The sequence below is a fragment of the Homo sapiens genome, chromosome 6 (genome assembly GCF_000001405.40).
Source record: "Homo sapiens chromosome 6, GRCh38.p14 Primary Assembly".
NCBI classification, from domain to species: Eukaryota; Metazoa; Chordata; class Mammalia; order Primates; family Hominidae; genus Homo; species Homo sapiens.
Window position 1 is genome coordinate 149,136,717 of NC_000006.12, and position 21,881 is coordinate 149,158,597.

The 21,881-nt window shown below is 39.5% G+C and overlaps 1 long non-coding RNA gene across 1 annotated transcript, besides 1 other annotated feature; it reads left to right on the plus strand.

The window, feature by feature from the left end:
- Positions 1-3,432: 3,432 nt before the first annotated feature.
- Positions 3,433-19,890, plus strand: LOC124901426 (uncharacterized). The gene is made up of 2 exons (XR_007059807.1): positions 3,433-3,583; positions 19,570-19,890. It is a non-coding gene; the product is annotated as an uncharacterized LOC124901426 (long non-coding RNA).
- Positions 3,780-4,009: an enhancer, noted in NCBI's record as "active region_25247". NCBI's record gives its function as "activates an Ori minimal core promoter by ATAC-STARR-seq in GM12878 lymphoblastoid cells {active_cell/tissue: GM12878}" and the evidence as "EXISTENCE:reporter gene assay evidence [ECO:0000049][PMID:35858748]".
- Positions 19,891-21,881: the final 1,991 nt, after the last annotated feature.

A 21,881-nucleotide genomic window follows, 5' to 3' on the forward strand; every position in this document is an offset into this window, starting at 1 on the left:
TAGTGTCTGGTGAGGGCCCATTCCTCATAGATGATGCCTTGTATGTTCCTCACATGGCAGAAGGGGAAGGGGCAAACAAGCTCTGCCAAGCCTCTTTTATAAGAGCGCTAACCCTATTTATGAGGGCAGAGCCTTCATGACCTAATCACCTCTCAAAGGCTCCACCTCTTAAGACTACTGCATTGGGGATTTTGTATCAACATATAAATTTGGGGGGGCACAAACATTCAGGCCATAGCAGGGGACAGGGACAGTGGGGGAAGGTGCTGACAGAGACGGCCTAGTCAGTGTGGAGGAGAACTGAGCTTCATGCAGTGGGGACTTGATGGACTCTGATCTCAATCAATAGTTCCACCTGATTCTTGATGTATCCCAGCCTTGGGAGGGAGGGCTGTCACCCTGAGGGCCTCTGCTGCCCAACCAGGAGCCAAGCCTCTGGCATTGACTCTCTCTGACATCCCCTGCCTGTCACTGAAGGCTGTCATTCACCCCCGCTTGCTTCTTCCCTTAGGGAATTGCAGGTCTTCCTCTTCTCTTCTTCCTGCCCTATTTTTATTTTATTTTATTTATTTTTTGAGATGGAGTTTCGCTCCTGTTGCCCAGGCTGGAGTGCAATGGCATGATATCAGCTCACTACAACCTCTGCCTCCCGGGTTCAAATGACTCTCCTGCCTCAGTCTCCCGAGTAGCTGGGATTACAGGCGCCCGCTAATTTTTTTTATTTTTAATAGAGACAGGTTTCACCACGTTGGCCAGGCTGGTCTTGAACTCCTGACCTCAGGTGATCCATCTCTCTGGGCCTCCCAAACTGCTGGGATTACAGGCTTGAGCCACCACACCCAGCCCTTCCTGCCATATTTTTTAAAAAACACGTATGTATACACACATACACAGATACGCACATGCACACATATGTACACACATATACATATATACGTGTGTGTACATATATAATTTTTAAAACAGAGAACAAGGAAGAGATATGTGATAGGGTTTTATTTTAATCCTGTTTTTTAACCTGTCATTGATTTGCAACAGGACCTTGGACATGTTATGCAACTCATTTCTTCACTCTATAAATGTTGGCCAAAAGCCTAATGCAGCCCAGCACTGTGTTGCCTCTTGCTGGAGTTACTTTTAGGAACAAAAACGGAGGCAGAGCTTACTAATAGGGGAGCTAGACATCACAACAAATTACGCCCATCTGGCAACTACATGGAGGAAAGGGCTGGGATCAAATGTACAAGGTACTATGAGAAAGTGTATTTGGGGGTCCTAATTTCATCAGTGGGGATTGAAGGAAGGGTCTTCCTCTGATAATTGGGGGTACTGGCACTGACCTGAAGGGGCTGCTGTGAAGATTACACCTGACTGTGTGTGCCCTGGTGCCTGATAAAACGGTGGTGATTATTATTGTGGTGGAGGCCCAGTCCTGGAGCACTGCAGGGAGGCAGCAGGGTGGGACACACAGAGACCACAGCAGCCAGACACGGTCACTCAGGGGCAAAAATGTCCAAGAACTGAAGCCCAGACCTGCGAGAGAGGCTCACAGAGCCAAGCCCGGGGAGGCCCGCCAGCAGGCAAGCCAATTCCCCTACTCCCAGTGCAGTAGGAGAGGTGCGCCGTAGCCACGGTCTCCAGCCCTCCCACCAGACGCAGCTCTAGCCTCTCTTTTCCACCAATTCACAGCAGAAACCAAAAGGTGAAATGCATATGAGAGAATCAAAGCCACGCACAGTTTTCCAAGTTATAGCTATCTCTCAGGTCAATCCCCAGTTTGAAGTCTCCCTTGCTTCTGAAGGGTTCAAAGTAGCTGAACACAACTTTTCCATTACCCAGCAGCTCCCAGTAACAGGAGATGCTCTGTGTTCCCTGAATCATTGGCCTATTGAAGATAATTTTAGTGGGGTGCTTTAAACTACGGTAAAAAAAAAATAGCATTTTTAACCATTGTAAGTGCACCGTTCAGTAGCAGTAAGTACATTTACATGTGGTACAACCAGCCCGCCATCTATCTCCAGAACTCCTTTCCCCAACAAAATGAAACCCTATACCCATTAAACAACTCCCACGCCTCCTGCTCCAGCCCCCGGCAGCCATCATTCTACTTTCTGTCTCCATGAATTTGCCTATTCTAGGGACGCCACGCCAGTAGAATCAGACAGCATTTGTCCTTTGGTGTCTGGCTTAGTATAACGTCCTGGTGGTTCTAGAAGTTAATGCAGCTTCCACATGTGGATGAACCTGGGAAACAGGTTAAATGCTCAGCGCATCTGGCCAGAGAGTTATTATATTACAGCAGAGCATCACGAGAGTCAGCAGCGCTATAGGTCCGGCGTCATGAGCTGTGTGACTGGGGGAAGTCACTTAACCTCTCTGTGCCCAGGCTTCTTCACATACGAAATGGAAATAATGACAGTACATATTCATAGGGCTTTCATGAGGATCAAATAAATTACTATATGTAAGACACAGTAGTACCTGGCACACTGGGGACACTGGAAAAATATTAATATAATTTAAAATAAAGCACACACATGAACATATGTCTAAATACATGATTACAGGCTCATGTCTGTAATCCCAGCACTTTGGGAGGCTGAGGTGGACATATCACCTGAGGTCAAGAGTTCGAGACCAGCCTAGCCAACATGGCGAAACCTCATCTCTACTAAAAATACAAAAATTAGCTGGGCATGGTGGTACATGCCTGTAATCCCAGCTACTTGGGACGCTGAGGCAGGAGAATTGTTTGAACCCGGGAGGTGGAGGTTGCAGTGAGCCAAGATTGTGCCATTGTACTCCAGCCTGGGTGACAGAGCGAGACAACGTCTAAATAAATAAATACAAATATAAAATTATAAAGTTTCTATCCTCACAAAACACTTAGATATTTTTAAGTGATTATGATTAAAAAAATGAAACTACTCTCAAAAAGAATACCTTATATTCATTTAGAAATTAAACATGAATTTTCTATTGGAAACATAGAAAGAAATTTAAATTCATCTATGACAGCCCTCAATCTTAAGAAAAAGATAAGCTCTAGAAGGATTCTAAGCAAGTTTAGAAAAGATATGCCCCAGACTTCCATTTGACAGTCTCTACAACCATTCAAGAAATGAGAGGTAAAACTTAAAACACTCAGTGATGAAGCAAAATGTTGCAATATTGGTAATGTTCACAAGTTGAGATCTAGAAATACTATAAGCAGTAAACTTCAAAGGGAAAAACATCCTCTATTACTGCATATTTATGGAAGAAATTTCCCCATACTGAACAAAGAGATGTCTCTTTATCTCAGATAAACCCATTTTATGGATTTAAAAAAAAAACAACCTAAAAGATCATTTTGAGTGTAGATTTTGCAATCAAAATCTTGACCACATTTTAACATTCTCCCTTCAGTCTTCTAATTCTCAGTCAGAGGTCATCATTGTCACTTTGTGGCTTGACTTTGCAGCCACGTCTTCCAAAGGCCTGTTGTCTTCTCACCCCAGCACCCGCAGGACGTCTGCAGGGAAGCTACGTTGCCTCCCTGAGGGCCTGCAGGCCTGCTGTGATCCAGCACCGTCATAGCCAGGTAAGATTTGCATTGTCTCTTCATCTGGTCACAGACGGGCTTTTCCCTTTTTATAAATTTGACACACAATAAACTTTGAGTGAGACCAAAATCAAGGAACCCAACGTGTGTACCAGGGATCCATTGAGAGGGTCATTTGCATCAGGGCATGAGTTTTAGAGTCCGACAGCTTGGAGGCAGGTCGTTGCTCTTGTTCGGGTCAGAAATCTGGTAGTTCTTCACTCCCAGCAGGACTGTAAGGATGAAGAATTCAACTGTTTTGACTCTACACTTTCAGAAATAGAGCTTTCCTTTTTAGAGAGAATAGTCATAATTCTCTCTTATCTTACGCTTTCACTTGGACTTTTTGTGTGTGTGTGCTGTGCTGGCCTGATTAGAGTCTGTTGTCTTTAAGGGTTTTTCTGAAACGTTTACTCAGGAAACACATGGAATGCACTCTGACAAGTAAAGCCCACATCTCCACTATTTACTGAGGCTTTTTGTTTTCACATATTAAATATCTCATGCCTTACCCAAATACTTTATTTGCCAGTAAAGACCCAAGGCTTCAGGTGCAAGGAAAGGAAAGGGAACCAGTGGAAATCAGTGGAATCCCAGTAAGAGGGGAAATATTTCATGAACTTTATTTTTAAAAGCAGGTTTTTAGGGGTACTAGAAAATTCCCCAGACTTGTTTCATTAGAAAGAAAACACAGTATGTGTCAGAGTATGAAAACAGGAAAGGGTGAGAGAGTAGCCGTTGTTTGATCATCTCAATCAAGGGGAAATTTGTCTGAGGTAAACAGTTCTCAGAAACAGCAATAGTTTCACAGACTTGATTTTTAAAATAGTTTTGGTATCCTCCAAATCAGGCCTAGACTAAAAGTCTGCACTCCTTAGGACAATGAAGGCCAGTATAAGTCTTGCAATAATTAGGACTTGCAATAATTACCTTGGAACCCAAAATGGTGATGACTTTTTTTTAATCATGGAGTAACTTAGAGATAACAATGTCTAATTTATGGAGATGAGAAAATAAAAACCAGACTGAGTTAAATATAGTTCTTACCTGCTGACAATAATAGCATGTAAATTGATTGAGAGGTAATTGAAGGAAAAGCATATGGATATATTTAGATTATTCAAGAGAATAAAATATTCACTAACATTAGACACATTGATTAAATATACATGAAAAAATTCTAGGGATACACTAAAAGACTAGAAATAAACTGCATAACTTCCAAACTAGTAGAGGGAAAAAAAAGCAATACAGATAAGGCAACTTATTTTATAAATTTCTATAATCATTATGTTGATTATATTTAAGAAATAAAAATTAAAGATGACTGCACTAAACATTCAATTTAAGAAGTCAACTTTGAAAAACAATATAGACCCAAAGATAGTAGGAAAAAGAAATAATAAAGGCAAGAGAAGAAGTTAATAAAATAGGAAACATAAAAGCTATAAAGAGGATCAAGATGCTAAGAGTTATATCTTTAAAAACACTAATAAATGGATAAACTTCCAGCAAAACTGATCAAGAAAAGACAGAGAAGTTATAAATAAAAAATATTAAGACTGAGATAAAAAGAGGACCAAACCACAGATGTAGCAGTAATTATAAAGATAAAAGAAGAATATTATAAGTTTATAAAAATAATTTGAAAAATTATATGAAGCAGCCAACTTCTCAGAAAAATATAAATTACCAAAAATGACTCAGGCAATAATAGAAAATCTGACTGGCTTGATAACTGTTAACAAAATTAAGTCAGTAATTAAAAATCTTCCCACAAGAAACTCTAAGCCTAAATGGTTCTACAGGTGAGTTCTCACTAAATTTAGGAATAGATACTTTCAATCTTACCAAATTCTTCCAGCAAGCAGAAAAAGAGAAAACATTATCTCAACTTATTTTACAAAATTTGTAAAATCAGGAAAAAAAACTAATGCATTAAAAATAGAAGCAAAACTCTCAACAAAATATTGACAGACTGAATTCTATATAATATAATCCTACATAATATGTATTATATCACAATCAAGTTAGGTTTATTCTAGGAATGCAGGGTTAGTTCAAACTCAGAAAAATCTATTAATATAACGGATCTAACAGATTAAAGAGGGCCAATTAATCATCATAGAGATTCAGGAAAAGCATTCAATGACATTCAATATGCAATAGACTAAGAATAGAAGAAAACTTTCTAGTTTGATCAAAGACCTTCACAAAAAAATGACAGTAAACACCCAATGTTGAAATACTAAAAATTATTCCCTTTGAAATTAGGAGCAATTCAAGAACATTTACTCTCACTTCTATTCAATATTATTTTAAGAGTCCTAGTCATCCTAGATAAATAAGAAACAAATGAAAGATATAAATATCGGGAAAAAAGAAACAAAATTGTTACTATATGCAAATCATATAATTGTATGCATAGACCACCTAAAAAATTTACAGATATATTATTAACATTAGAGCTTCTAGCCAGCTTACTAGCTATAATACCAATTTGTATTCTATATACTGATAACAAACATTTAGAATTTTACATTTTTTAAAAATACCATTTATAATATCAAGAAATATATACAATACTGATGCATAAATATGAAAAAGATGTGCAATATTTTTCTGCAAAAATATTCTACAAACATTTATTGCAGAGATTTTTTAAATAACTAAATGGAGGAACATACTAACTTCATAGATCAGAAGGCTCAATTTTGCAAAGATGTCAGTTCCTAGAAAATTGATTTATAGTATTAACAGAAAAACTTCAGACAAATTAAGTTTAGCAGAATTTATTTGAGCAAAGAACATTTCATGAATCAGGCAGCACTCAGAACCAGAAGAGGTTCAGAGAGCTCTACCCAGAAGCATGAGCAGTGAGCTATGGAAATAGACTGAATATGGAAGCCAGGTAGAGAAAGCATCTGAATCGCTACAGCTGGCATTTGGCTTATTTTCTCATGATGTAATCAGTTGGCTACCTGTGATTGGCTGAAACCCAGCCATTTGTTAGAAAAAAGTGTTGAGTTTAGTACACGCTAAGTTAGGCTGCAGTTTGTTGCATAGGAAATCAAGGTACAAAGACAACCTCAGTTTACTGGCCTCCTGCTTATTTAATTTAACAATGGATTTCATGAATTTCTCATCAAAATCCCCAAGTGACTTTTCCTGGCAATTGATAAACTAATTCTAAAATTTATATAAAAGAGTAAAGATCTTATGGTCATTAAAACACCCTTAAAGAAGACAAAGTATGTAGAGAGATTTCCCCAGCCAGATATCAAGACTTCCTACAATGCTATAGTAATTAAGATAATGTAGTCTGTCTTAATAGGACAGACAAACAGACCAAAGGGACAAACTGAAGAGCCCAGACTCAGATCCATGCACATGTGAAATCTTGATATTTGTTGCAAGTAACATTACAGAGGAAATGTTGGATTATTTTCAGAGAGTGTGGGACTCTTAGATATCTCCATAAAAATTTATATTGTCTCTCTGCCTCATAACTTACTCAAAAATGAATTATTGATGGACCAAGAATTTAAATGGGGGAAGCAAATTTTTTAAACTTTTAGAAACATATCCCTATTCCTAAAAAAATATATTAGAAGCATTTTGGGTAAAGGGCCATGATTTACTTACTTTACCATTAAAGGTTTCAAGAAAGAGATTTTCAAAAGTTGAGAGAGAGAATGCAAAAGAAAATGGGAGTAAAATGTAAATAATATGTGCATCTGGGAATAGGGTATACTGAGGTCCTTTGTACTATTTTTATCTTTTCAACATATCTATTAGCTTGAAGGTGTTTCAAAATAAAAGGGTGTTTTTACAAAAAATCTTTAGAAGAAAATATAGGAGAATATCTTTATCACCTCAGGGTACTTAGGCCACTCTTGAACACAGTTCAAAGGATAGAAATTATAAAGGAAAATATTGACAAAATAAATTACATTAAAAGAATTTATGTTCATCAAAAATAGCCATTAAAAGAGAGAAAAAATACATACCATCAACTGGAAGGAGATATTTGCCACACATCAAACTGACAAAGGATCAGGATCATGAATATATAAAGAACTCCTATGAATTAATAACACATACAATACGTATCTCTTCCTGTGTGTCAAGGTCTATTAAAAATAATAAATAACCCAATGAAAAAATGGGCCAAAATGAATATTTCACAAAGGAAGGAAACCAAATATTAAAAACATTAAAAGATGTTCAGCTCATTTGTAATCAGAGAAATACAAATTAAAACCCCATTGGTATAAAATTTTAGTCCCACATGACTGGCAAATATTAAAAATCTTGGCACTATCAAGTATTCATAAAGACATAAAGCAACAGGATGTCTCCTATGCTGATGTACAGCAGAAATCAGTACAATCTTCGGCATCACCTATTTTAATTCACCCTTCAATTCCAATCCTAGACATTTACGGATACTAGCAAAAGCCTTGCATGTGCAAACAGGTGATGAGTATAAGATTATTTATAGCAGAAATTGCTTATAATAAATAAAAAGCTGAAAACAACCTGAAATTTCCATCAATAGTAAAATGAATAAATAACAGTGGTACATTCATAGAATGGAATGAATATTAAATGACTACATATGGCAATATAAATGAGTCTAAATAATGTTGTTGGGGAGAAGAAAGACCTTGAAGAATTCAAGCAGTTATGAAAAGATGAAACTTTGAAAAATGAGGAGTGAGTTAGACATTCCAGTCAGCGTCTATGAACAGCATGACCCACATGGGAACTGCACGTGCACAACCCGTCCCCCATGGCACGTTTCCCCAATGTGGAGCTCGGTCTATGTGGACTAAGTTACTCTGTGTCTCTGAGATCACAATGGGAATTATCATTGGAGTTCCTAAAAATCAGAGTTTGTATGTCCAGAAAGAAAGATTCTGTCTGCTTGCCCAATCATTGACTGTAGCAGGATTTAACATTAGTATTCAAATTATTAAAGCTATAAATTAAGAATCTCCATTTTTCTGAACATTTAAATTCAGTTTGCAAATCTTCTTTCTTTTTTATTTAGAAATATAGCAATTGTCCAAAAATCAGAAGAGCTATTTTCACACTCCTTGATAAATGTTTAAATTAGTTCATAAGTTAAAAAACTAAAATGTCCTATCTTAAATAACAAAATTTTCTTAGACACTTCGAACTACAATTAGGTATTTAACACATCTGAATTGCTCAAATGCCTATCATGCAGATTTAATAAATTTAATAAGAACATTCTTTCCTAGCATTCAATCTATATGATAACTCTAATAAACTTTAAAATATAATAAAGCCAATAACTTGTAGGTGTGTGTGTGTGTATGTGTTTTCTCTTTTTTTTTATCATTAATACTTTAAGTTCTGGGCTACATGTGCAGAACATGCAATTTTGTTACATAGGTATACACGTGCCGTGGTGGTTTGCTGTACCCATCAACCCATCACCTACATTAGGTATTTCTCCTAATGTTATCCCTTCCCTAGCCCCCCACCCCCTACAGGCCCCAGTGTTTGATGTTCCCCTTCCTGTGTCCATGTGTTCTCATTGTTCAACTCCCACTTATGAGTGAGAACATGCAGTGTTTGGTTTTCTGATCTTGTGATAGTTTGCTGAGAATGATGGTTTCCAGCTTCATCCATGTTCCTGCAAAGGACACCAACTCATCCTTTTTTATGGATGCATAGTATTCCATGGTGTATATGTGCCACATTTTCTTAATCCAGTCTGTCATTGATGGACATTTTGGTTGGTTTCAAGTCTTTGCTATTGTGAATAGTGCCACAATAAACATACATGTGCATGTGTCTTTATTGTAGAATGGTTTATAATCCTTTGGGTATATGCCCAGTAATAGGACTGCTGGGTCAAATGGTATTTCTAGTTCTAGATCCTTGAGGAAAGGCCACACTGTCTTCCACAATGGTTGAGCTAATTTACACTCCCACCAATAGTGTAAAAGCATTCCTATTTTTCCACAATCTCTCCAGCACCTGACTTTTTAATGATCACCATTCTAACTGGCGTGAGATGGTATCTCATTGTGGTTTTGATTTGCATTTCCCTAATGACCAGCGATGAGGAGCGTTTTTTCATATATCTGTTGGCTGAATAAATATCTTCTTTTGAGAAGCCTGTCTGTTCATATCCTTTGCCCATTGTTTGATGGGGTTGTTTGCTTTTTTCTTGTAAATTTGTTTAAGTTCTTTGTAGATTCTGGATATTAGCCCTTTGTCAGATGGAAGGATTGCAAAAAATTTCTCCCATTCTGTAGGTTGCCTGTTCACTCTGATGGTAGTTTCTTTTGCTGTGCAGCTCTTTAGTTTAATTAGATCCCATTTGTCAATTTTGGCTTTTAATGCCATTGCTTTTGGTGTTTTAGACATGAAATCTTTGCCCACACCTATGTCCTGAATGGTATTGCCCAGGTTTTCTTCTAGGATTTTATGCCCAGGTTTTCTTCTAGGATTTTATGCCCAGGTTTTCTTCTAGATTTTCTTCTAGGTTTTCTAGGTCTTATGTTTAAGTATTTGATCCATCTTGAGTTGATTTTTCTATAAGGTGTAAGGAAGGGGTCCAGTTTCAGTTTTCTGCATGTGGCTAGCCAGTTTTCCCAACACCATTTATTAAATAGGGAATCTTTTCCCCATTGTTTGTGTGTGTCAGGTTTGTCAAAGATCAGATGGTGGTAGACGTGTGGTGTTATTTTTGAGGCCTCTGTTCTGTTCCATTAATAAAGTCAATTACTTTAATCTCACATATCTTAAAATCAGATAAAGCATATTTAAAGTGGTATAGTAATGACAAAACTTACTACATTCATACAATCCCTACAAATACATACCCTACATAACAATAGCAATATTACATTAGAATTTTTGTTCTGGATTTACACACTTGCCCAGTGAAGGCCAGCATTAGCACCTCTGGCTGGCCACAGGAACTGGGACATGTCCACTTAAAGATTTTGACATTGGACTGGCCACTGCTGACCAGATGATACTGCCCAAGCCACAAGCCAACAAGTTGAGCCCTGATTTAACTTAGACTCTGTCTTCTTATCCAATCACTTACTGAAATACTTTCATAACGTTTTTCTGCATACCCACACTCCTCTCCAATTCCCTGCCCCACCCAGATTGCAACACTTTTATGTCTTTTCATTCGTGAAATTCTGTACCCTTTAATATTTTACTTTGACATTTGTTTTATCATTTCTATAATCATTTGTTTATACAAGGCTAACTCGGGGGGGAATTAATTTTGAATTATAAATTCACAAAGGCATTAGACACTTGGCTAGAGGATGAGCTGGAGATAAAAATTATTCTTAGACTATAAAGTATCTAAAATAAAGAAAAAAGAATTTACAAACATCTTGAAACTATAGGTTAAGGAGTTTCCAATTGTTTCTGACATGCAGGGATTGACAAATAAAAAACATTTCAGTGCTGGTTGCTAGCTTAAGATTTCTAAAATGTCACTGCATTTGTCTCTGTCCAATGCAGACCTCACTGAGGATATGCAGATGCTGTTACAGTAACAGCAATAATCCAAAATGTAATGACTTATTACCCCTACCTGCTCGTGCAAGACCTTGGGCACCTCTAAATTCCATCCAAATATTTCCTGGGGTCCCCCACAAATGTCTCACATGTTTTCATAAACAAAATCACTTATGCAGTTGAGGCAACATTTTTATTTTTCAGAGACAGGATCTCATTCTCTTGCCCAGACTGGAGTGCGGTGGTGTGATCATAGCTTACTGCAGCCTCGACCTCCTGGGCTCAAGACCTCTGAGTAGCTGGGATTACAGGAATGAGTCACTGCACCCAGTCCTAATTTAATTTAAGCATTTTTCAGAGACTGCCCCAATGTGCTCCAGACCCCGGATGACATGGGTTCATTCTGCAAGAAGGTTTCCAGATTAGAATCCCTTTGGGTACGGAATTTGGGGAAATAGTTTGGGGAAATGATTCTTTCAGCTTTTCTTTTAGCTTTTAGCTTTGCAGGGATTCAGCTAAGACAAGAGCTAAATAGGGCAGGCAGGGACTGGGAAGGGAAATATAGAGAAGAAAAAAATGTAAGAGATGATAAGCACCAGCATTCACACATGAAGATGACACCTTATGATGGATTGTGGTGATGGGGATTAAAGAGGAGTCAAAGTGAAATTAGAGTTTCTCGGCTGTTGCCAGGACAGTAAATAACAAAGAGGGAGGATGGATTGTACACAGGAGAAAGATAAGAACTTTTCTCTCAACTTCCTTCATGTACTTCGGCATGCGTTCACACAAACCTCACCTCGACGTTTTGAGAAGGAAATGTATTTGTGGTTCTTCAGTTGACATCTATTTTCTCATGTGTATTTTGCAAGCTTTGTAGCCCTAAGATAAAGTCAAAACAATGAAATTCTGTTTATTAGTGTTGTTACAGTTATTAAACTCCATTTTCTCTTTTGGGAAACATCAGTTCCATTAGAATTAGAAGATTGTCCCCAAAAATGTTTTCACAAGGATATTTGAGGATGCTTTTTTCATGATGGAAACGAATCGAAACAAATGTCCACCAGTGAGTGAACTGGGTAAATTAAGATCTATACAGATGATGAAGTCATTAAGAATGATCCATTCATCCATTCGTTCATTCAACATTTTTTTTTTGAATGGTAACTGTATGTCAGGCACTATTCTAGTTTCTTCAGAGGTAAACAAAGCCGGCAAAATGTTCTGCTCTCCTTGACCTTACAGTCTAGTGGAGAGAGACAGTAAACAAAATAAGTAAGGAAAATATATGTTAGATGTCAAGAAGCACTATGGATACAAATAAAGCAGGCAAGAGGATTAGGGAGGCCAAAGAAGGATGCCATTTAAAATAGGGAGATGAGGGAAGATGACATTTGAGTAAAAATGTGAAGGAGAAAAGGGAGAGCCACATGGATATTAGGGTAAGCTGCCTTCTAGGCTTATGGAAGAGCAGATGCAAGGGTGCTGAGGCAGGAGCAAGCCGGATGTGCCCAAGGAACAGAAAGGAGACTGGTTGAATAAGAGAAGTAAGTGAGCAGCAGAGAAGTAAACTAGAGGATCAACAAGATCAGAGATGCCAAGTTACACAGGGCTTGTCATAGACTTTAGTTTTTATTCTAAGTGACATGGGAGATCTTTGGACAATTTTGAGCAGACAAGAGCCATGATCTTATTTATGTTTTACAGGATCCCTCTGGCTCCTTTGTTAAGATTGGGTATAAGGGGTTGGGCACGGTGCCTCATGCCTGCAATACCAGCACTTTAGGAGGCCAAGGTTGGAGAATCACTTGAGGCTAGGAGTTTGAGACCAGCCTGGTCATCATGGAGAGACCCCGTCTCTACAAAATATTTTAAAAAATTGTTTTAAAGTATGGCTAGAAGGAAGATAAAGGCAGTAGAAAGGTTACCAGTTAGGAGGCTATTAGAATAACCCAGGTGAGAAATGATGATTCAGAATGGTAGCCATGAAGGTGAAACAGTTTGAGTAAGATCTGGATACATTTTGAAGGTAGAGTAGATGGAATTTGCTGACACATTGGTTTAGAGGTCTGAGAAAAAAATAAGGAGGAAAAAAATGACTCCAAGGTTTCTGGCCTAAGCAACCAGAAAGATGGAACAGCTATTTACCGAAATGGGAATTCTGCAGGAAGAACAAGTTCCATTAGGTTAAACTCTAGTGCCATTTTTGCAGGTTCAAAACATTTGAATATCCGTCTTTTCATATAGTTTAACCTAACGTAAATGTATGTTGACATAGAAAGATATCCTGGAAATATTTTTGAGTGGAAAAAGGAGCATACAGAATTGCCAAAAATCATATGATTCTATTTACAAAAAATTGAGAGTGCGTGGGGGACCCTAAGACTTGCAATGTGAAGATTTGTCTTGATGTGCTCAAGAACTTTAAAAATCCAGAGCCTTTTGGTGCTCTGGGATTGCAGAAGTAGTCTACTGCCTTCTACTAAGACTGACATTGACCTCTTGCTTGAAGACATTACAGGATCCTCTAACTTAAAGAGAGCACGAGAGCCTCTCAGGATCTACCCTATCTGTCCTGGACATCACACCAATACACAGGATCAAGTCACATGAGCCAGCATGGGAAGTGCTGAGCTTATTAAGCCAGGACAGGGTCTCTATGCTTCAAAAAAGCCACAAGACCTAGCCGACTAGTGCTAGCTAGAGCTGGGGTTTGGGGGACATGCATGGGGCTGGATCCCAAGGTGATGCGTCAAGGAAGACAAGATCAACTCAGATAAGCGGGGGAGGGCTCATTGATATGGGAGCATCATCTTGTAATTCAGAATTCAACACTCCTGCAAGGATCCCAGAAGATGATGCTGATATGCTGCTAGGAGGCTCTCAACCTCTTGGAAAATATATTTGCAATAAATTGTAGGAGAAATGCTAGAGCTGCTGCAGCAAACAGTGAAGGGGAGAAGAGGCTTGTAGAGGTGGGCACGCCAGAATGGATCTTCCACATGCAGCCAAAAAGCCTGTTCACCTGAGCAGCAAGGACAGAGCTGGTTAGAAGGGAGCAAGCCTCACTGAGAAGCTCAGTGGCATGCCCAACAGCAATGCATCATAAGACAGAAGTGGTACATTTGGATCAGAGCACTCAATGAAGCTGCATGAAGAGGTGGCCCAACCCCACATGACATCTAACAGTACCACACATGCACTCTCCCTGAGCTCACCAATTCAGCTGCATGGGGGAGGGAGATCGCTTTTGAGAAGCTAAAGGAATTTTTAAAAAGGCTAAGCAGGGCTCACCAATGGATGGTTGTCTTGGTGTGTGAGTACAAGCTAAAGACAGGTGGCTTCTGTGTCACAGCCCCTCTCACAAATGGCACTGAAAGCAGCAGTGGGGAGGGATCTCCCAGTGAGCAGAGTTTTAGGCAGCACACTTAGTCATCCACGATGTGGTAAGAGAGTAGCTTGAGTCAAGATGATAGGTGGTTTCATGGACAGTGATAAACCATGTGACTGGTGGGTTGGATCTGTCAAAAGAAAGTTTGGAAGGTCAGAGGCAAGGGGGTCTGGAGAAGAGGCTGCAGATGGACATAGGGGAGCAGAAACCACGTGGGAGGGACTTTGTTTCCCATGTTAATGTCCATCACAGAACATTCATCATAGAAGACTCACTAAACAACCAAGGAGATGGGATGATTTGACCCGTTGACAACAGCCAGCTTCTGTCACCAGCTATGCCAAGTGTTGGCACAATGGGCTCATGGACAGAGGCCATGGGGGCAGGAATGCAGGCTATATTTGGGCCCAATAGTGCTGCTATTGCTGCAACCAACTTTACAGGAACAAAGCCAACATTGAGACCCCAGTTTGGCACCGTCCCTCAAGGAGATCAGCTACTTGGTGATAACTTGACTTCAGTGGACCATTTCTACCCAGGAATGAGCAGTCGTTCATATTGACTGAGAGCAAATATGTATTTCAAGTACAAGTTTGCTCTCCTGCCTGCCAAGCCTCAGCCATCACCATGATCACAGGCCTTACTGAGTGTTGGACCATTGATATGGGATCTTGCTTAACATCGTCTTGGACAAGGGTCTTACTACGCAACAAAGGAAGTATAGCAGTGGGCACTTAACCACGGGATCCACTGGTTCTATCACATACAGTCCCGCCTAGAACATTTGTGCCTGATAAAAATTGAACAGCTTTTTGAAGGTGCAGCTGAGGCACTAGCTTAGAAGTGACACTCTGCAAATATGGAGCACTCTTCTCCAGAATGCTGTACACATCCTAAATCAATAAACATTACTGAGCTGTGTCCCCTGATATAGTCTATAACCCAGGTCCAGGAGGAACCAAGGGGTGGAAGTAGGAGCAGCCCTGTTTATCACAACTCCAGCATGGGGACTTGAAATTGCCCATCCCTGCAACAGTTGGCTCTATGGTCTAGAGATCCTGATCCCCAGAGGGCAACGCTTCCACCAGGGAACAAAGTAAGGGTCTCAGTAAACCTTAAACTGTAGCTGCCACCCAGTTACTTCAAGAGCCTTGTGCCAAGAGACCAGCAGACAAGGAAAAGGTCATCATCCTTGATGCTGTAAATCATCTGGGTAAAGTGACCCAGATCATCACAGGTGTGACTGAAGTGATACAATAGGGCAGGAAGGAATATATTGGGCACCCAAGTGATATAATGAAGCATCTGTTTATACTTCCAGGCCTAATTTTAATGGTAAATGGGCAAATGCAGCAGCCACAGCCTAAGCAGGGCATTGTGGCCAGGGGCTCAGACCTCTCAGGAATGAAGTCTGCTCACACCAGACAAGACACCTCGACCAAGACAGGTGCTAGCCAAGGGTGAAGGGAATCAAGAATGGGTCATAGGAAAGACAATGTGTATAAGTTGAAGCCTCAGGACCAGGTGCAGTAGCAGGGGCTATAGTTTATCCTAATAACCTATCTTTGGCAGAGTTATCCAGGAACCCTGGAGGAGCTTATCCCAGTTGGGATAAACTTACTATATGAAGCAAGTGGCCCCAAGTGGTGGGAGGTGTGGACTCCAGTGGCTACTGTGGTGCACTGCTCAGATCCCCCTGAATGAGGCATTTGCTTCTAGCTGTCAGGAGCATTGGCTACAAACAGCTCACAATTGAACCTCCACGGGAAAAGTTCTGAGTAGAAAGAAGCTGCTTTGCCCAAGGTTATGCCCCCCGCTGAAGACACAGGAGCAGCCCACATCCAATGACTGGTAGATAATGCAGAGTATAAGGACCACTCCCCTTGCCTTAATTTGAGCTAACTCCGAAGGGCCAGCCCAGCTCCAGAAACCATGAGATCAGCTGAGACCTCTGTTGTAGCTGTATTGCAGCTTCACTTCTGCCTTTCCCAACCCTGCTTTATTTATTTCCTCACAGATGCTCTTTCCAAGAGTGCTTCCTCATGATCCTCCCACATGCACATCTCCATCTGCTGTGGTTTAAATGTGTCCCCCAAAGTGCATGTGTTGGAAACTTAATCCCCAATGCAACCAAGCTGAGAGGTGGGACTTTTAAGAGGTGATTAGGTCATGAGAGCTCTGCCCTCATGAATGGATTAATGCTGCTATCATGCGAGTAGTTTCATTATTGTGAGAGTGGGTTTATTAGAAAAGCAAATTTGGCCCTCTCTTGCTTCCTTTCTCCCATGTGTCCCCATTCTCTTGCCCTTCTGCTCCTGCCATGGGATGACACAGCAAGAAGGCCCTCACCAGATGCCGGCCCCTCAATCCTGGATGTTTAGCCTTCAGAACTATAAGAAATAAATTTCTGTTCTTTATAAAATACCCAGCCTCTGGGTGTCCTTTTACAGCAGCCCAAAACAGACTAAGACACCATCTCTGTGCATTTTCACAGAAAACTGTGCCTAAGATGCTTCAGTATTTCAATTTTGGAAGAAGATGGGGAAAGAGAAACAACAACTTCTGCTGTTTCCTCACCCTGTCCCTTCACTCTTTTCTCCTACAAAAATTGCATCATCTTCTCCTCATCTATATTTTGCTATTCCAAAATAAAAGCAAAAGCAAAAGCCACTCCAGCCTCCCCAGCGTCTTGTCTCAGTTCTAGTGTATACGTTATCTAGGTAGCAATGAGCAGGAGCTGACATCCCTCAAAGTATGTCTCACCTGTCCCATCCCAGGCTCACACTCTTCTATGCACAGAGAGCTTCTTAAGAAAATGTGAATAAGAAAGACTTGTTCTTGCTATTTCAACTTTAAACCATGTAGCAAATATTTTTTATCCCACTACCAGGTTAAAATCACACCAATCTGGACAATGTGCAGTTTATTACAACTCTGTTCCCACTGGGATAGCAGAAAGAGCTAATGTTATTGTTTTAAGTATACTGAAGCCAGATTTTTTGGGGTTATTTTTTGTTAGTACAAGCCAGTAAGACCAACTAGCTCATTTTTTTTTATCCTCCAGAACAATTGGGAGGTGTTTGGGTTTTTTGTTTTTGCTTTTTAAAATCTCAACTGACTCATTTGGTGGGAACAAATTCACATGTCAGCATGTGGTCTGACCAATATGACCTATCTACAGGGAAAAAAACAACATTTTCAAATTAAGGTACATTCAGCAATTATACATTCTTGTTTTAAAAAATATATACTGACCAGCACCTAGCCATATAACAAAGAGCATGTGCCTGAGATTGCCACAGTGGGAAGATTGATCAACATCAGTCCCATTGTTTGAGTCAGGATAACTTGCTCACATTTCAGTCAGCTTGAGTAAAAGAGAACTTATTGCAAGATGAGAGGAGTGTTTCATGAAACTTGAAGAATATACACAGGAAGTCGAATCTTTGGTAACTAAACCCTTGCTCTGTCTATTTTTCTCTCCCTTCCCTATCCTACCCCAATGTCTCTCTGCTTCCCTCTGTCCCTTTGCTCCCTCCTCTGGCTTCCTTTGCAGATTGCCTCTGGCTCTCTCTGCTTCATCACCAGTCCTCATGGCCCAAAAAGGCTGCTGCAGCTTAGTCTTCTAGAAGAAGTCACCTTCATGGAATACAGTCTCGTAGCCTCTTAAGTCAAACTTTTGTGATTTCTATCTGAGTGCTTTGGGTAGAGTCAGATATCCCTGATCTACCTGTTATAAAAATAAAATGCCCAGCCCCATTGTTCAGGAAAGCTTATGCAGACACCTGTCTAAGGATGGAGGTTGACCTTTTCAGGCACCCCAAAAGTATTTGTCACATTTCTTGGATATACATTTGAATCCCTTAGCAAATTCCACCATATTCCTTCTGGCAGACAGTGAGGTGAGAGACAAATTATCCATGTCAGTGAACCTATATATCATGTTTGGTTTTATATGGCAGCACCCAGTAGAGATGGGACTGATAATACTGAGGTTCAAGGGATAATGCTTATCTTTGAAAGAAAAGTAGATGGAGGGGGGTAATTATTATAATAATTTTCAATGTATTAGTAGAAGCATCATTTATTTTTAACAAGAAACTTACTAGCTAAAACATGCACAGAATCCTTTGACTTAGGAATTCCACTTCTCAGAATGCATACTAAGGAAACAATCATAACAGTATTGATATGGTTTGGCTATGTCCCCACCCAAATCTCTAATTGTAGCTCTCATAATTCCCATGTGTCATGGGTGGGACCCCATGGGACGTAATTGAATCATGAGAGTGGGTCTTTCTTGTGCTGTTCTCCTGATAGTAAATAAGTCTCACAAGATCTGATGGGTCTATAAAGGGGAGTTTCCCTGCACATGCTCTCTTGTCTTCTCCCATGTAAGACATCCCTTTGCTCTTCCTTCGTCTTCGGCCGTGATCGTGAGGCCTCCCCAGCCTTGTGGAAATGTGAGTCCATTAAACCTCTTTCTTTTATAAATTACCCAGTCTCGGGTATGTCTTTATCAGCAGTGTGAAAACAGACTAATACAAGTACATAAAACATTATAAAGAGATATTCATTATAGACATGTATTAATATAAATGAAAAGAAGTTGCATATCTATTAATAGGAATTCCAATGATGAATTTATGTTCTATGCATGGGGTTGGCTATTGTGCACCCTTTAAAAATTATCTTTTTGAAGAGTATTTACTCACATAGGAAAATGTGTATAATATGCTAAGGGAAAAAAACAAAATCATATGCATCCTCCTAATTGTATTTTAAATTATTTACCTATAATGCATTTAAAGAAGATAAGAAGGCAATATATCAAAATGTTAACTGCGATTATTTCTGAATGGTGAGGGATGGGTAACTTTTATTTTCTTTTTTATTATTGGCTTATTTTCCAAATTATCTAAGATGGATGCATATTGTTTTTATAATTAGTTTCTTCAGCCTTTCACCTCACAACAGTGAATGCAATAAAATGAACATTCAAGAAGAAAAGAGAGAAGAAAAGATTACTGAACTACCATGATGACCAGAGTTGACTTTTATTTTTCAGCTCATCTTTTGTTGTTGTGGGAAGGGCCCACAGAAGCCAACAGTTTTGGTGGAACTCCGATCGGACAGTAGATGCTTCTTATTCCTTGTTATGAACTACAAATGCCCCGACCTCGTGTTTATGATCGCCAACAGTCACTTGTGCATTTCTGTCTCCACTAATGCATGGTGTGGCTAATTGGGTTTGTGAAAAAGGTCACTTCCATCTTTTTTTTTTTTAATGAATGGTTTAGTTTATTATTACAGTGGAGTGTTGACAAGCATGGCAGAGACTAAAAATATAGTTCCTTTTCAAAATAAAATATTCAGCATTTTGACTGGCTGCAGATTTATTTGGCAGTAATTTCTTGGTTAAAATTCCCTGAGGTTTCTTTATATGGCTATTTTGGTTCTTTATTTTAAGTATATCAGCATTTTTCCACAGCTTCAAGCTATTCTCATCTCAGCATGTAGGAAGTTAATAGGCAGCACAGAAGCTTGTTACTCCAATTCCAGTAAAAACATAATTGGCTCAAGCAGCTAAGATACCAGCACCATCCTTTCTGCTACCTTGAAGGACCAGCAAGAATGGCCACAAACTCAAACTCATCACAACAATCAGGCCCATTCCAGGCAGTGCCCATGAATATGGAATAAGGACCAGCAAAAATGGCCACAAACTCAAACTCATCACAACAATCAGGCCCATTCCAGGCAGTGCCCATGAATATGGAATAAGGACCGCTTGGAATTTTGTTTTTTAGTCTCAAAACTTTGTAAGATTTTTTAACGATATGCATAATAGGAATGCAATTCCATTTAAGGTGGATGCCCACCTAGATACACAACATATTCCAGTGGTACCACCATTCTTCGAAACATCTGTGAAATTTCTGTTTTGGAATCGCTTTCAGATATAGTTTATGGAGAAATACATCAGAAAATTAGTCTCGTTCATTTCTAATCACATATGAATCAGATTAAAAAGTTAGATTACTCAACTTATTTACCAGACTGGGCACCAGATGCCTTTTGCATTTTCTAAATAGCAGATTCTCTCGCAAAACCAAAGTTTGCCACCAATAAATCTTTCAAACCACATGCCTTGGTCTAGGATAGGAATTCCAATAAGATAATTCCAAAAGGGATTAGATTAATGGTAGAATCATTGGAATAAGTGTACAGTCTTCCAATCTAACAACTCTGAACTGGGCATTTGGATCCGTAAGATCAGGCACACTTAAAAAAAAAAAAATTAAGTGAGTTCCAGGCTCTGTTACAGGGGCTGCAGCAGCACATATATATCAGGTTTAGCCTTTGCCCTTTGACAATATCAGTCTTAAGAGCACTGACTTGAAGAAGTGATCTAAAATAGTATCTTAGAGTTATGCTAATTTGAACTACCCCAGTCAGAAAGATATGGAAAAGTGAGAAAGAAGGAAAATGTTTTAAAGGCCTTTTCTTTGTCTTTCTCTCTCTCTTTTTTTTTTTTTTTTTTTTTTTTTCTCATTTGCAGGACATTGAAACAAAGCAGGGAAGTGCATTTGCATTCAGCTAAATTTAATTTGCATGCCTAGATAACCTCTGGGAATTTGGGAGGCTACCTTAGCTGGAATGTGCAATTGTAGCTACCTATTTACGTCACAGTGTTTGTTATGAAATAAAGGACTAAAACCTTAAAATGCGGTTCAATTTAAATATCTTGATCACCATCAGTAGCAGCAGCAACAATTCTCTCACAGATTTCATCCTTGAGGAAAAGGCAGGAAGTCAGTTAAACTTAATTCGGCTTCCATCGACAAATATAATTTGGACATCAGGAATGGTGCCATGCAAAGACGCACACTCTCGTTCAACTCCTTCAGCTCAAGGAACTCATCCAAGTCACCTCAAGCATTAGGGTCTTACTGTGACTATAACAGGAATGCATACTCTTCCAGCCCCTAATGTTATCAAACCAAACTGGACTCCACCTGCCCGGCGCAGTAAGATGAGATATCCACACTGAGGTTTGCAGCAGGAGAAAGGAAGGCGTTTATTCGCAGGGTGCTAAGCAAGGACAATTGGCAGCTATTGCTTAAGAGTCAAACCTCCAGATGGCTTAGGGGTAAAGGCTTTTTAAGACAGGGGGCAGAGGTTGCAGGCAAAGTCATAAATCAATACATGGATGCTATACATTGGCTGGACCTCAAAAGGTGGGATATCTCCAAGCATGAGCCCAAGCAAGATCATAAGTGGATTCAAAGATTTTCTGATTTGCAATTAGTTAAGAAGGCAAAGCGTCATCTAAAAATATGGGATTAGTAGAATGTTCTGGGCCAGGGATGTGACCTC